The sequence below is a fragment of the Homo sapiens genome, chromosome 2 (genome assembly GCF_000001405.40).
Source record: "Homo sapiens chromosome 2, GRCh38.p14 Primary Assembly".
Taxonomy (NCBI): domain Eukaryota; kingdom Metazoa; phylum Chordata; class Mammalia; order Primates; family Hominidae; genus Homo; species Homo sapiens.
The window spans coordinates 85,358,464-85,374,158 of NC_000002.12; the positions used below are offsets into that span (position 1 = coordinate 85,358,464).

At 46.0% G+C, this 15,695-nt stretch overlaps 1 protein-coding gene, 1 non-coding gene and 1 pseudogene across 30 annotated transcripts in view; 2 read left to right on the forward strand and 1 right to left on the reverse strand.

Moving 5' to 3' along the window:
- The window catches only part of ELMOD3 (ELMO domain containing 3), a 36,980-nt gene that overhangs the window by 3,695 nt on the left and 17,590 nt on the right, over positions 1-15,695 (forward strand). For 27 of the 29 annotated variants that reach the window (NR_138131.2, XM_047445971.1, XM_047445972.1 and 24 more), the window contains 6 exons: positions 3,723-3,797; positions 4,634-4,703; positions 10,223-10,291; positions 11,276-11,367; positions 12,623-12,746; positions 12,977-13,099. Coding sequence is in view for 26 of the 29 variants with exons in the window: in XM_047445971.1 (XP_047301927.1) it covers positions 3,723-3,797; positions 4,634-4,703; positions 10,223-10,291; positions 11,276-11,367; positions 12,623-12,746; positions 12,977-13,099 (553 nt within the window). In the remaining 3 variants the exon portion in view is untranslated. The remainder of the gene's footprint in view (positions 1-3,722; positions 3,798-4,633; positions 4,704-10,222; positions 10,292-11,275; positions 11,368-12,622; positions 12,747-12,976; positions 13,100-15,695) is intronic. The other 2 variants (NR_138132.2, NR_138133.2) reach the window with 1 other exon arrangement.
- On the forward strand, positions 9,819-10,117 carry RN7SL113P (RNA, 7SL, cytoplasmic 113, pseudogene; annotated as a pseudogene).
- Positions 14,991-15,051, reverse strand: LOC124906137 (U7 small nuclear RNA). The gene has a single exon (XR_007088705.1). It is a non-coding gene; the product is annotated as a U7 small nuclear RNA (small nuclear RNA).

A 15,695-nucleotide genomic window follows, 5' to 3' on the forward strand; every position in this document is an offset into this window, starting at 1 on the left:
GTGGAGGTGTATTCTGGAGGAAAACTACATGAACAAAGGGATGGAAGTGAGGAGAGGGATCTGCAGCAGGTGTGTTGATTGCATTACAGTGGGAAATAAATGCTTAGCCATCATGAGCTCCTTTACCAGGGAGCTTGGTCAGCTGTGAGGTGTTTTGGCCTCCATCCTTGCATCTGGAACATGAAGAAATGAAAGTTGTGTTTAATGAGCATTAGTTGGAAAGGCAAAAAAAAAAAGCAGAAGGATTAGAGTAACAGGATGATCTGGGATTCCAGGGCCTTGGCATAATACATTCACATGGTTCAAAATGCAAAAAGTACAGAACGATATATGTATTGTGAAGAAACCACCTTCCACCCTTGTCCCCCCAGCCACTCAGTTTTTCTGCTGGAGACAAAGCTACTGCTTCCTTGGGTATAACTGTGAAAATGGTCTCTGCAGAGACAAGCAAATGTGCTTATGTACTTTTAAAAAATAAAATGGTAAAATAGTGTATAGACTCTGTCCTTTGCTTTTTCACTTAATACATCACGGAAATTGTCCCATATTGCCTGTAAAGTAAAGCACTTTCTCATTTGTCTTTATGGCCATATAGTATCTCACTGAGTGAATGTGCTTTTATTTATGTAAATCAGCCCATTAATGAACATTTAGGTTTTTCCAGCCTTTCCCTATTATAAACAGTATGACAAAGAATCACACTATAAATGTAAACATGTCGGTTTTGCACATGGATGAATATATCTGTTAGATAAATTACTAGAATGCAGTATCAGGCCCCGCATGTACAAAACATGTATGATTTCATTAGGTACTATCAAGCTGTAGAGGTGGTAACAGTTTACTCTCCAGTGTGTTATGCACTCTGGCCAATGTACATGTTATCAGACTTTTTGATCTTTGATAATCTGACTAATGAAACACAGTAGTTTTACATGACTCTTTTTTTTTTTTTTTTTTTTGAGATGGAGTCTTGCTCTGTTGCCCAGGCTGGAGTGCAATGACGCGATCTCGGCTCACTGCACCCTCCGCCTCCCAGGTTCAAATGATTCTCCTGCCTCAGCCTTTCGAGTAGCTGGGATCACAGGTGTGCACCACCACGCCCGGTGTGCTAAAAATACAAAAAAAATACTTTTTTGTATTTTTAGTAGAAACAGGGTTTCACCATGTTGGCCAGGCTGGTCTTGAACTCCAGACCTCAGGTGATCCACCCACCACAGCCTCCCAAAGTGCTGAGATTACAGGTGTGAGCCACGGTGCCTGGTGACGTTTTTCTGTTTTGCTTTTTTTTGTTTTGTTTTGTTTTAATGAGTGAGGTTGAACATTTGTTCATATGTTTAAAACCAATTTGTGATTGTGCAGGATGGCTCGTGTCTGTAATCCCAGCACTTTGGGATGTCAAGGTGGCTTGAGCCCAGGAATTTGAGACCAGCCTGGGCAACCATATGTAGACCCCATGGCTACATGGGCATGGTGGTGTGCACCTGTGGTCCCAGCTGCTTGGAATGCTGAGGTGGGAGAATCCCTTGAGCCAAGAAGTGAGTGAGCCATGATCGTGCCACTATGCCCCAAGTGGGGCAACAGCGCGAGACTCTATCTCAAAAAAACCCACATGGAGAAACCCCGTCTCTACTAAAAATACTCTACTAAAAATTAGCAGGGCGTGGTGGCGCATGCCTGTAATCCCAGCTACTCAGGAGTCTGAGGCAGGAGAATCACTTGAACCTGGGAGGCATAGGTTGAGGTGAGCCGAGATTGCACCATTGCACTCCAGCCTGGGCAACAAGAGCAAAACTCCATCTCAAAAAAAAAAAAAAAAAAAAGCCACCATTTCAGTTACCTTTTGTGTAAACCATCTATATCCTTTTTCTAATGTTTCCACTGGGTTGGTTTTTCTTTTTTTTTTTTGAGATGGAGTCTCACTCTGTTGCCCAGGCTGGAGTGCGGTGGCGTAATCTCAGCTCGCTGCAACTTCCACCTCCCAGGTTGAAGCCATTCTCGTGCCTCAGCCACCTGAGTAGCTGAGATTACAGGCATGTGCCACTACATCCGGCTAATTTTTGTACTTTTTAGTAGACATTGGGTTTCACCATGTTGGCCAGGCTAGTCTTGAACTCCTGACCTCAAGAGATCCTCCTGCCTTGGTCTCCCAAAGTGCTGGGATTACAGGCGTGGGCTACCACACCCGGCTGGTTTTTCTTTTTTGCCTTAATGATTTTTTTTTTCTCTGAGATTAAACTTTATTAAAGTTACTTTTCCAGAAAATTCAGTGAATATGGTAACATAGGAACAAACTTAGGCTCATAAGCCCTTTACATTTTTACATAATCTTTAATGATGTTGATCAGGAAATTCTTTCACTGGTAGAATTACTTCTCCATTCTCCAGAATTGTATCATCTGGGAATATTCTGGGCTTCTTTTCAATGGTGCCATATGGTTTTTTTAGATACATGATACTTCTTGGTGCTCTATATGTTCAGAGAAACTTCTCTAGTAACAAACTATAGAAATGATGATTTTTTATTTTTTAAACAGTAGAGACAGGGTCTCCGCATGTTGCCCAGGCTGCTCTCGAACTCCTGGGCTCAAGCAATCCTCCTGCCTCAGCTTCCCAAAGTGCTGGGATTGTAGCTGTGAGCCACCACACCTGGTGATTTTTAGGATTTTAAAAGAACACGTTGAAAAATTAGCTCTGTATCTGTGAAATGAGTTACAAACAATTGGCCGAGTATTTTGGTCGGTTTTTTGTTTTTCATCTGTAGCAGGGGATAGGTTTGGCTGAGCAGAAAGGCCATAGGAAACTGCTTCACTAAACTTCGCTCACTCAGAACCCTCAGACTTTCAAAGAGCCAGGAAATCGGTATAAAATTTTTGAGATAACATTAATTAAGCTTTTTGCAGTTTTTCCTAGGACCAGATTAAACAGAAGTTTTCCTTTACAGTATTCATTATGGTTGGTATCTCCAGAGTTCATCCTTTTTTTGTGGTACTGGGAAAAGTTGCAACATTTACCTTTGCAGGGACATGGATGGAGCTGGAGGCCATTATCTTTAGCAAACTAACACAGAGCAGAAATCCAAATACCACATATCCTCACTTATAAGTGGGAGCTAAGTGATGAGAACACATGGACACATAGAAGGGAACAACACACACTGGGGCCTATTGGAAAGTGGAGGGTTGGCCGGGCCCGGTGGCTCACGCCTGTAATCTCAGCACTTTGGGAGGCCGAGGCGGGTGGATCATGAGGTCAGGAGATCGAGACCATCCTGGCTAACACGGTGAAACCCCGTCTCTACTAAAAATACAAAAAAAATTAGTCGGGCCTGGTGGCAGGCGCCTGTAGTCCCAGCTACTCGGAAGGCTGAGGCAGGAGAATGGCGTGAACCTGGGAGGTGGAGCTTGCAGTGAGCCGAGATCGTGCCACTGTACTCCAGCCTGGGTGACAGAGTGAGACTCCGTCTCAAAAAAAAAAAAGAAAAAGTGGAGGGTGGGAGGAGGGAGAGGATCAGGAAAAATAACTAGTGGGTACTAGGTCAAATACCTGGCTGATGAAATAACATGTACAACAAACCCCTGTGACCCAAGTTTCCCTATGTAACAAACCTGCACATGTACCCCTGAACTTAAAAGTTAAAAAAAAAAAAAGTATGACATTTAAACTATTATCTTTGGGGGATTAATATGTGCCTAGGAGATTGACCCTTGTCTGTTTTACAGGGTGAAAGATTGTCTGCTGGATATTCTCCATCATATGACAAGGACAAGAGTGTTCTGGCTTTCAGAGGAATCCCTGTATGTATCACCCACAACTTGGTACCTTCTGCCAGGGCTTTTGTTGTGTGTTACTGTGTGGTGCCAGAACTGTGGTAGACGCTGGGGACACAAGGGTGGCATAGACCTTAGCTTCCAAGAGCTCACACTTGAGGGGAGTGAGGGGAGGGTGTATGGAACACAAACATACAAAACAACTTCTATTTAATAAGATAATTGCCATAATGAAGCAGGCTATAAAACGCAGAGAGAATACCAAAGGCACACCACAGTCTGAAATGAGTGTATGAATTTTTGTTTATTTACATTCAAGGTGGACATACACTTGTCCCCAACATCACCCAAGTTCCACATCATAGTTAAAGTTTTCCAGGTACCTCAATTTAAAATGGACTTCAAGGCCAGTAAGTGGCTCATGCCTGTAATCCCAGCACTTTGGGAGGCTGAGGCAGGCGGATCACTTGAGGTCAGGAGTTCAAGACCAGCCTGGCCAACACAGTGAAACTCCATCTGTACTAAAAATACAAAACTAGCTGGGTGTGGTGATGCACACCTGTAGTCTCAGCTACTTGGGAGGCTGAAGTAGGAGGATCACTTGAGCCCAGGAGGTGGAGGTTGCAGTGAGCCAAGATCAGGCCACTGCACTCCCGCCTGGGCAACAGAGTGAGACTCCGTCTCAAAAAATAAATAAATAAAAAGTAAAAGAAAATAAAACTGACTTCAGTCAACCCATCAGGGCACACTAGGTCCTTTTGGCCTCCAGTGTCAAGGACATTCAGTACAGTGGGTGGGAAGCGTTTGTGTATATGGGGGTATGTGGATTCTATCCTCAAGCTAAAGGTCAGCTGCCTCTACAGATCTCAGAGTTGAAGAACCATGGCATTCTCCAGGCTCTGACCACAGAAGCTTATGAATGGGAGCCACGTGGTAAGGTTCCCTTCAGGGCCCTTGGAGTCTGGGTGGGACCCAAGTCAGACCTTCCCATGCATCTGCTGTTCATCATTTGAATTTCTCTCACTCCTTGTCTTTCAGAATTTTGTAGATGTATCAGTCCTTGGGGAAAAATAGAATCAACACTGAATTAGGAATCAAAAGACCAGAGTTCTGATCTTCCTCTGCTAGTGGTTTACTGTGTGCCTCTGGGCAAGCCATATGATCTCTAATATTAGTACCTCCCTTATCCTCAAAGGGATGTTATGAAAATGAGACACAATATAGGAAAAGCCTTTGAAAAGTTATTCTACTTCATCTGCTTTGCAAGGCGCTTCCCCATACTATATTTAAAGTTCACTCTACTTGCCAAGTGATTATGGAGAAAGGTACACTCCAGCCTGGCCAACATGGTGAAACCCCATTGTATTAGTCCGTTTTCATGCTGTTGATAAAGGCATACCCAAGACTGGGAAGAAAAAGAGGTTTAATGGACTTACATTTCCACATACCTGGGTAGGCCTCACAAACATGGTGGAAGGCAAGGAGGAGCAAGTCACATCTCACATGGATGGTGGCAGGCAAAGAGAGAGCTTGTGCAGGGAAACTCCTGTTTTTAAAACCATCAGATCTTGTGAGACTTATTCACTATTATGAGAACAGCACAGCAGAGACTGGCCCCCATGATTCAATTATGTCCCACTAGGTCCCTCCCACAGCACATGGGAATTATGGGACTTACAAGATGAGATTTAGGCGGGGACACAGAGCCAAACCACATCACCGTCTCTACTAAAAATATTTTAAAAATTAGCCAGGTGTAGTGGTGTGTGCCTGTAATTCCAGCTACTCTGGAGGCTGAGGCACAAGAATTGCATGAACCCAGGAGGTGGAGGTTGCAGTGAACCGAGATTGTGCTACTGCACCCATACCTGGCCACTAGAAATATGAACTTTTAAAAAAATACTCTTTTTTTTTTTTTTTTGTTAGGGACAGGGCCTTGCTTTGTCCCCCAGGCTGGAGTGCAGTGGTGCAATCATAGAATTTGTGGGTTCAAGCAGTCTTCCCACCTCAGCCTCCTGAGTAATTGTGTACCACCAGGCATAGCTAATTTTTTTTTTTAAGAGACAGGTTCACCGGGCACAGTGGCTCACGCCTGTAACCCCAGCACTTTGGGAGGCTGAAGCAGGCAAATCACGAGGTCAGGAGTTCAAGACCAGCCTGACCAACATAGTTAAACCCCGTCTCTAGTAAAAATACAAAAATTAGCTGGGCATGGTGGTGCACGCCTGTAATCCCAGCTACTCAGCAGGCTGAGGCAGGTGAATCACTTGAACCTGGGAGGCAGAGGTTGCAGTGAGCCGAGATCATGCCACTGTACTGCACCCTGGCAGCAAAGCAAGACTCCATCTCAAAAAAAAAAAAAAGAGACAGGTTCTTGCTGTGTTGCTCAGGCTGATCCTCACCTTATCCTCCTGAGTATCTGGGAATATAAGTGTGAGCTTCTATGTGTAGCTAAAAAATATTCTAATATAGGAACATCATTTGGACATCTGTGAAGTTTCTTTTAATGGAATTTTATCTTTATGGTGACAAACCCAGCATTAATACATTAATAATTTTTACTTTAAATACATATATATATATATATATATATTTTTTTTTTTTTTTTTTTTTTTCTTTCCAGAGACAGGGTCTCACTCTGTTGTCCAGGCTGAAGTGTAGTAATGTGATTGTAGCTCACTCCAGCCTTGAACTCCTGGGCTCCAGCTGGGACTACAGGTGTGCACTACCATGCCTAGCTAATTTTTAAAAAATTTGAGATGGAGACGGTCTCATTATGTTGCCCAGGCTGGTCTCAAACTCCTGGCTCAAATGATCCTCCCACTTTGGCCTCTCAAAGTGCTGGGATTACAGGCATGGTGGCATGTGCCTATATCTCTGGCTAACTTTAAAAAAAAAAAAAAGTAAAAAATAAATGTAGGCTGGGCACGGTGGCCCACGCCTGTAATCCCAGCACTTTGGGAAACTGAGGCGGGCGGATCACAAGGTCAGGAGTTCTCTACCAAAAATACAAAAATTAGCCAGGAGAATCACTTGAACCCGGGAGGCAGAGGTTGTAGTGAACCGAGATCGCACCACTGCACTCCAGCCTGGGCGACAGAGCGAGACTTCTTCTCAAAAAAAAATATATATATAATAAATAAAAATAAATGTAAAAGAGAATTAATAAATAAGCTGACTCAATTGGCAGTGCTCTTGACTATATGAGTAAGTGGAAGAGAGCTGAAATAAAGGAGACAATTATAAAAAGGAAAAAAGATAACCTAATTAACGTGAGCTGTGTTAATTATCCTGACTATTTGTCCTTTGCCCCCGTGTTCTTCTGTTGGTCAGGGGAAAACAGTATTTATGTCACACGTAGGAGGCATCTCCCTCATTCCAAGAGAAAAGGAGAAGCTCTTACGTGGTTTGGGCATTTGTGTTGAGGTTTTAAGCACCAGCTTGCTATTGCTGGTGGAAACCTTGAACTTTTGTTGACTAACCTGTTTTGACAGCATATTCCCACCCCCTTGCCACTGTGGTTCCTGCTCCTGGCTCACAGACTTTGATCAAGCTGTTTGTAGGCGAGGGTGTATGGGGTTGGGGAGGGATTGGTTAAGTTGCTGGTAGATGAGGCTCTGACAGGTGAAGAATCAATAAATCAATAAAGCTGCATGAAGGTAAGAGGGTGAAGGATCCTGTTCAGCTTCATAATAAGCATTGCATCCTGCTGTTCTACTCTTCCCCCAGTCCCTTTTTTTTTGAAACAGAGTCTCACTCTTGGCGCCCAGGCTAGAGTGCAATGGCGCAATCTTGGTTCACTGCAACCTCCGCCTCCCGAGTTCAAGTGATTCTCCTGCCTCAGCCTCCCAAGTAGCTGGGATTACAGGCATCTGCCACATACCCAGCTAATTTTTTTTTTTTTTTTTTGTATTTTTAGTAGAGACAGGGTTTCACCATGTTGGCCAGGCTGGTCTCAAACTCCTGACCTCAGGTGATCCACCCACCTCAGCGTCCCATAGTGCTGAGATTATAGGCGTGAGCCACCGCACCCGGCCTACTCTTCCCTTTTTGTTCAGCCACTTTGTCCCTCCTTTTTAGCTCCTATGCTGAAAGTAAGTTTTATTTTCTTGATCCTCCAAGGTTGAATATTCTCTTAAAGCTGTCTTAGGAACTCCAAGGCTCAGTGTCTGCTACTCCGGACTGGAGCAGGTGAGATGGAATTTCCTAAAGGTCCAGATATTTAGGACCCTGGACCCATCTCACCCGCTGCCTCTGTCCATTGCCCTGCTGGACCTGAGCCCACACCTATGTTGATAATAATAGCTTACATTTGGGCCACGTGCTCTCCTAGGAAGTAGAATTACCCCATCCTCACAACAGCCCCATGAGGGGTTACAGATGATAAGTAACTTGCCTGAAGACATACAGCTAGTAAGAGGCAGAGATGAAGCATTCACAAGTAGTTTGGCTCTCAAGTGTGCTTTCAGTAACTATCCTCTACTGCTTCCCAGCCGCTTTCTCTTCCTTATTATCCATTAGTGTCTGGTAGCATTTCATTTAATCTGCAGGTATATTCTCCCAACAGTTTATTGTCATGTGATGTCCTCAGCCAAGATTGTGAGGCAGAGAGGAGCTGTCCCAACCTACTATACCACCGAGGCTGGAGAGATCATATTTTTGGTATTAAACTGGAGTCTCTCCATCCTTCACATTGTTGATGTCCTCTGTAGCAAACCGGAAAAGTCAGTGACAGAAGATGCCGCTAGCAGTTTGAGCCAGAGAATGACAGCTCTGGTTTGGAGAAAAGGGCCGGATGGTGGCTCTAGAAAGCCCATCCTTCTGCTCTTCTTTTTTTCTCCCCCTTATATTGTGCTTTCATTCATTCATTCATTCATCAAACATTTGTTGAGCACCTATTATGTGTCAAGCTCTGTGCTAGCCTCTGGAAAACCTGCCCTCATGTAGCTCACTGTGGAGTAGGAGAAACAATGACTACACTATGATAAGCACGGGTTGTCAGGGTCTCACAGAGCAGTGGCCCCTCATCCAGACCGATGAGGTCAAAGAAGGCATCCAGGCGAGGATGGTGTCAGAGCTAACTGAAGAATGAGAGGGAGCTGCACCAGCAGGGGTTGGAACTGAAGGTGGCAGTGCCTGGAGTCTTGATTCCAGCAGAGGGAGAGCAGTCTGTGAAAAGGCACCAAGGGTGGGAGAGGGCAGAGCACATGGAGGAACTTCAGGTAGTTCTGGATGGCCCTGGGGCAAAGCTAGAGAGGTAAGAAGAATCTACAAATGTTCCTCGAGTTACATGAACTTCCATCCCAATAAACCCATTGGAAACGAAAAATTTAAGTCAGAAGTGCATTTAAGGCTGGTCCGAGTAGAATGATTTTTACAACGAATTGATCACAACCAGTTACAGATGTCTTTGTTCCTTCTCCACTCCCACTGCTTCACCTGACTAGCCTTTAAAAAAACAAAAAATTTAAAAACAAAAAGAAAAGAAAAATGCATTTAATACCCTGATAAATCCATCAAAAAGTCAAACAATTGTTAAGTGGAACTGTCATGAGTTGGGGAACCATCTGTAGATTGTGAAGTTATGTGGATACTGTGCTGTAGAGTATGGGTTTTATCTTGAGGACTGTGGAGAATCCCTGGAGGGTTTTGAGCAGTGATGTCGGATCTTACTTTTCTTTTCTTTTTTTTTTTTTTGAGGTGGAGTCTCGCTCTGTTGCCCAGGCTGGAGTGCAGTGACATGATCTCTGCTCACTGCAACTCCGCCTCCCGCGTTCACGCATTCTCCTGCCTCAACCTCCAGAGTAGCTGGGACTACAGGCGCCTGCCACCACGCCCAGCTAATTTTTTGTATTTTTAGTAGAGACGGGGTTTCACTGTGTTAGCCAGGATGGTCTCGATCTCCTGATCTCGTGATCCGCCTGCCTTGGCCTCCCAAAGTGCTGGGATTACAAGCATGAGCCACTGCGCCCGGCCAATCTTACTTTTCAAAAGCTCACTCTAGCAAACCTGTGAGGAGAGGATCAGAGGGTGTTAAGATCCAAGGCAGCCAGATGTGGTAGTGCGTGCCTGTAGTTCCAGGTACTCAGGAGGCTGAGGCAGGAGGATTGCTTGAGTCCAGGAATTCTGGGCTGTAGTGTGCCATGCTGATCATGTGGCCCCACTAAGTTCAGCATCAATATGGGGACCACCCGGGAGTGGGGGATCACCAGGTGGCCTAAGGAAGGGAAAACTGGCCCAGGTCAGAAATGGAGCAGTTCAAAAATCCTGTGCTGATCAATAGTGGGATCATGCCTGTGAATAGCCACTGCACTCCAGCCTGGGCAACACAGTGACACCCCATCTCTTAAAAAAAAAAATAGGCCCAAGGCAGGCAGACAAGGCTGGGGTCTGCAGTAGAGGCCCAGACATACCTAGATCTCAGAGGGTCTCCTTTTCTCCTACTATTGCAGTTGTGAGTACAGAGGTGGTCAGAGCCCAAGAAGAATGGGAAGCTGTGGACACCATCCAGCCAGAGACAGGTAACTGTACGAATGCTGCTGTCTCCCCATAGCCCCTCTGCCAGCAAAGGCACCATCCACACATGTGGCAAATGTTTCTGTGAGTCTGGGACTAGGAGATAGAATTCCTGAGAGTGCTCATTTTAACTATATAACATAGATTACAGTACCTTTTTCAAATCCTAAGATGATGACATCCTACCTCTGGAGGAAACCAGAGTGAAGGCCATGGAGAAAGGGCTGCCATCCCTGTCCATCTTTCACCCAGCCATGAGAGAAGACAGGGTTGACCTTGGTTAGGGCAGCTTCTACAGAGTGGCAAGGCTGGGTAGGAGGATGGAGATGGGCCCCTGTGTAAGGCTGCTCAGGTTGTTTACTGCACAAGGAAGTCCCTGGGGATGGGAGCTGAAGCAATCTGCTGGAAGGCTCTGAAGGCTGAGTAAAAATTGTCTCCTGTTTCTTTCTAAGAGGTTGGATGAAGAGATAGAACTAGGACCTATATCTAGCCTGAGCCTCTCTTCAGCTCCTTGGGCCCAGTGAATAGTATCAGCCATTGCCTATATTGCTAACTAATCAGTTAATTCCCTATTGGCTATAACAGAGGTGTATGGTTGGGGGTTCCTATACAGGGTGTAAGAAGGGAAAAGTGGAAATTAGGAAAGGCCCTTAAACAAACTGGTTGCATGCTCTTATGTGGGTACCCACCCCAGGCAGTGACTTGCCCCCTCGTAGATGAGAGCATTTAGGGATCACCTCGTGGGGCAGATCCGCCCCATACCCACCACAGAGGCTGACCTAGCAAGACTGAATAGCCTCGTCCAAAAAGAGAGTCCTCTTCGCCGACAATGCCAGCCTCTTGAAAGAAGATTGGTTGTAGCTGTAAGTGTCTGATGTTCAACTGGAAGCCAGTGCTTGGCTTGGAAGTGACAAGTAGGAGGGCCTCAGTAAATGTTTGTTGACAGAATGACTCCTATAAATCCTGGCATGTCTTCCGTTTTGCCACAGGGAGCCAAGCTAGCTCAGAGCAGCCTGGGCAGCTAATCTCCTTCAGTGAGGCCCTGCAGCACTTCCAGACTGTGGACCTTTCCCCCTTCAAGGTATGAGGGTAGCAGGGTTTGGAGTCTCAAGCAAAGTGCCTTTTCCCTAGGAGCCAAGCCTCTATCCCACCAGGACAGGGCATTGGGCAAGCAAATCTCCCCTAAGATCTTGGTGCCCAGGATCATGGGTGGCCTAGGACCCATGCTTCATTTGGGGCCTTGGTAGCTTTTGTGGGACTATGCCCTTACAGCTCCTGTAGCCCTGTCATTCAGGGGCCTGTATAGCTGTTTATCTACTCTTCCCTTTTAGGGATGGGGACATCTAGAGTCAAGTACTAGGTAGATCCTTGCAGAGGCAAGGCAAACTGTTCAGGGAGCTGAGTGATTCATGGCCAGTGGAGGAAAACCTTCCATTCCCTCAAGGAACCAGAAGCTATTTAGGAATTTAAGAAAGATATAAGCTGGAAAAAGAAGGAATATTTGGGGGAATAAACGCTAGGGGTGGGGTGGGTGCTGGGCATAGTGGCTCACACATGTAATACCAGCTCTTTCGGAGGAGGCTGAGGTGAGGGGTCACTTGAACCCAGGAGTTCAAGGCTGCAGTAAGCTATGATCACACCTGGGCAACAGAGTGAAACCCTGTCTCCGTAAAAAAAAAAAAAAAGCTGGGGAGCTTTCTGGGCCATATTGAGTAACAATACGTTTAGAGAAATGTGATTTCAGGTCTTCTACCTAAAACCTTGCTCAGGGGAGAGAGGCTAAAAAGATAGGAACCAAGTTGTTTTATAGGACCCAGAGAGCCGAAAGCTACCGAAATCAGAATATTCTAAGGCTTGCAGTAGTGACCCTGAGCCATGAGAAGCCAACATGACCTCACTTGGGAAGTGCTGGTTGTGACCAAAAGATTCCAGCTACCCCTCAGAGTCATCTAACTCTAGTGGGTCCCCACCTCCTGGGAAACCTGTCCTGGCATTTGTCTGACTGCCTGGGGGAGCTGGGCAGGTGTAACCCCTGTGGGAGTCAGTGGAATACCTAGTTCTGGAAAAGCCCAGAGGACTAAATGCAAATAATGGCTGATAATACCTACGCTTGGGGATGTCTTTCACCTTGCAAAAAATCTGGGAGCTGGAAGAGCCTGGCTCTAGAGACTCAACAGGTGCCTTGCAGCTTCTGCCTCCTTCCCTTGGCCCAAAGGCCAGCCAGATAGCTGGGGGAGTTACTTTCTGCAAGCACTGCCTCTGGTCTGAGCCTGATGGGAAGTTGATTAAGGGAAATGAACCAGCATTCTGCCCATTGCCTGCAACTTCTTCCCCAGAAAAGAATCCAGCCAACTATTCGAAGGACTGGGCTCGCCGCCCTCCGACACTACCTCTTCGGGCCTCCAAAGCTCCACCAGCGCCTTCGGGAAGAAAGGGACTTGGTCCTGACCATTGCTCAGTGTGAGTGCAATGCGAGCCCACAGGGCAGTTGCTGCATCTGTGGTTGGGCAAGACCGTGTGTGCTGACCCTGTGAGGCTAAGCCAGGAATATTGCATGTACCATGGTTGGCGGGTGAGAGTGGGAGCTGAGAACTGGATGTCTCACAGTCCAGATCTCACATTCTCTGAGAAGCACCCGGTTCTCCCATGAGGGGCAATCTGGCAGAGAGTGTGGGTGTGTTTTGGGGCAGGTGGCCTGGATAGCCAAGACCCAGTGCATGGCCGAGTCCTCCAGACCATCTATAAGAAGCTGACCGGCTCCAAGTTTGACTGTGCCCTTCATGGAAACCACTGGGAGGACCTGGGCTTTCAGGGTAAGAGGGAGGAGTAGCTCATCTTCTTTTTCATGCCTCTGATTCCAGGACTAGAGTGAGAGGCCAGGTCGTTCTCTTCCAGTGCTATGAGGGGGAAGATCTTGGGGGAGTATTCCGGGAAGAGGGTGCAGCAAATGCAAAAGCCCTGAGGGGGCGCCTGCTAGTTCTGCTTGAAAAATAGCAAGAGTAGGTCGGGCGTGGTGGCTCACGCCTGTAATCCCAGCACTTTGGGAGGCTGAAGAGGGCAGATTACTTGAGGTCCTGAGTTCGAGACCAGCCTGGCCAACATGATGAAATCCCATCTCTACTAAAAATACAAATATTAGGGTGGGGTGCGGTGGCCTGTGCCTGTAATCCCAGCACTTTGGGAGGCTGAGGTAGGTGGATCACGAGGTCAAGAGTTCGAGACCAGGCTGGCCAACATGGTGTAAGCCCGTCTCTACTAAAAATAGAAAATTTAGCCAGGCCTGGTGGTATGCGCCTGTAATCCCAGCTACTCGGGAGGCTGAGGCAGGAGAATTGCTTGAACCTGGGAGGTGGAGGTTGCAGTGAGCCGAGATTGCGCCACGGCACTCAAGCCTTGGTGACAGAGTAAGACTCTGTCTCGGAAAAAAAATTAAAAATAAAAATTAGCCAGGCGTGGTGGCACGTGCCTGTAATCTCAGCTACTCAGGAGGCTGAGGCAGGAAAATCACTTGAACCCGGAGGCAGAGGTTGCGGTGAACAGAGATCGCACTACTGCACTCCAGCCTAGGTGACAAAGGGAGACTGTCTCAGAAAAAAATAGCCAGAGTGTGGCTGAGGTGGAGATGAAAGTGACAGGAGGAAAGATCACTTGGTGGTCTTTTAGGCTGTTGTAAACATTTACTGTAAGTGATATGGAAAACACTGGAGTGATGTGACAGAATCTGGCATTTTTGGGTTTTTTCCTCTCTAAAAAATATTTATGAAAATTTTATCATATATTATTTTACTTTCTGAGTGAAACAGAATCATTTCACCAGTTTTTGGATTGTACTATTTTTTTTCAAAACCATATCAAATTGGCTGGGCATGGTGGCTCACACCTATAATCCCAGCACTTTGGGAGGCCAAGGCAAGTGGATCACCTGAGGTCAGCAGTTCAAGACCAGCCTGGCCAACATGGCAAAACCCCAATTCTACTAAAAATACAAAAATTAGTCGGGTGTGGTGGCACGTGCCTGTAGTCCCAGCTACTCGGGAGGCTGAGGCAGGACAATCGCTTGAAACCGGGAGGATGAGGTTGCAGTGAGCCAGGATTGCGCCACTGCACTCCAGCCTGGGTGACAGAGCGAGACTCTATCTCAAAAAAAAAAAAAAAAAAAAGACAAAACCATATCAAATTATATTTGTATAGAATAGGAAAATAACTTTGAAAGGAAACTTTAAGGCCGGGTGCTATGGCTCACTCCTGTAATCCCAGCACATTGGGAGGCCGAGGCAGGCAGATGACTTGAGGTCAACAGTCTGAGACCAGCCTGGCCAACATGGCGAAACCCCATCTCTACTAAAAATATATAAATTAGCCAGGCATGGGGGTGTGCACCTGTAATCCCAGCTACTCAGGAGGCTGAGGCAGGAGAATCGCTTGAACCCAGGAGGCGGAGGATGAACCCAAGATTGCACCACTGCACTCCAGCCTGAGTGACACAACAAGACTCTGTCTCAAAAAATTTTAAAAAAAAGATAAAAGGAAACTTTATGTACCCCTAATTAACTGGTGGTCTGTTGGTATGGCAACATGGTTAAGTCCCTGTTCCCTCTCTCATCTATCATGTAATTGTCTTAAATGTATCCTCTCTATATATTGAGAATCGCACCAGTAATGTTAAGATTTTTGTTTCAATCAACAAACATAATTTTTTTGAGGAGGGGTTCTCACGAAGAACCAGAAAACCTGCTAGACAAATTGTAGAAGAGCTGTGACACTGCAATATACATAATTTCTGAATCTCTGGAGAAAAAGGAAAATCTGGGCCAGGCACGGTGGCTCACACCTGTAATCCCAGCACCTTGGGAGGCCACGGCGGGAGGATCACGAGGTCAGGAGTTCAAGACCAGCCTGGCCAAAATAGTGAAACCCTGTCTGTACTAAAAATACAAAAATTAGCCAGGCATGGTGGCGCGTGCCTGTAGTCCCAGCTACGTGGGAGGCTGAGGCAGGAGAATTGCTTGAACCCAGGACGTGGAGGTTGCAGTGAGCCGAGATCTCACCACTGCGCTCCAGCTTGGGCAACAGAGTAAGACTTCGTCTCAGAAAAAAAAAAAAAAGATAAGAAAAAGGAAAATCTATTGTATTTACTCTTTCCATTGTTTGTTCTTCCTTCCTAACCCTCTTTTTTTTTTTTTTTTTTTCTATTTCAAGGACTTCCTTTAGTTATTCTCTTAGGATAGGTCTGCTGGCTATAAATTGTCTTTGTTTTCCTTCATCTGAGAATGTCTCAATTTCCCCTTCACTTCTGAATTCTCTGGATATAAAATTCCAGGTTGACAGTTCTTTTTTTTCAGCACTTGAAAATGTGCTACTTCCTTCTGGCCTGCATAGTTTCTGATGAGAAATCCACTGTCATTTGAA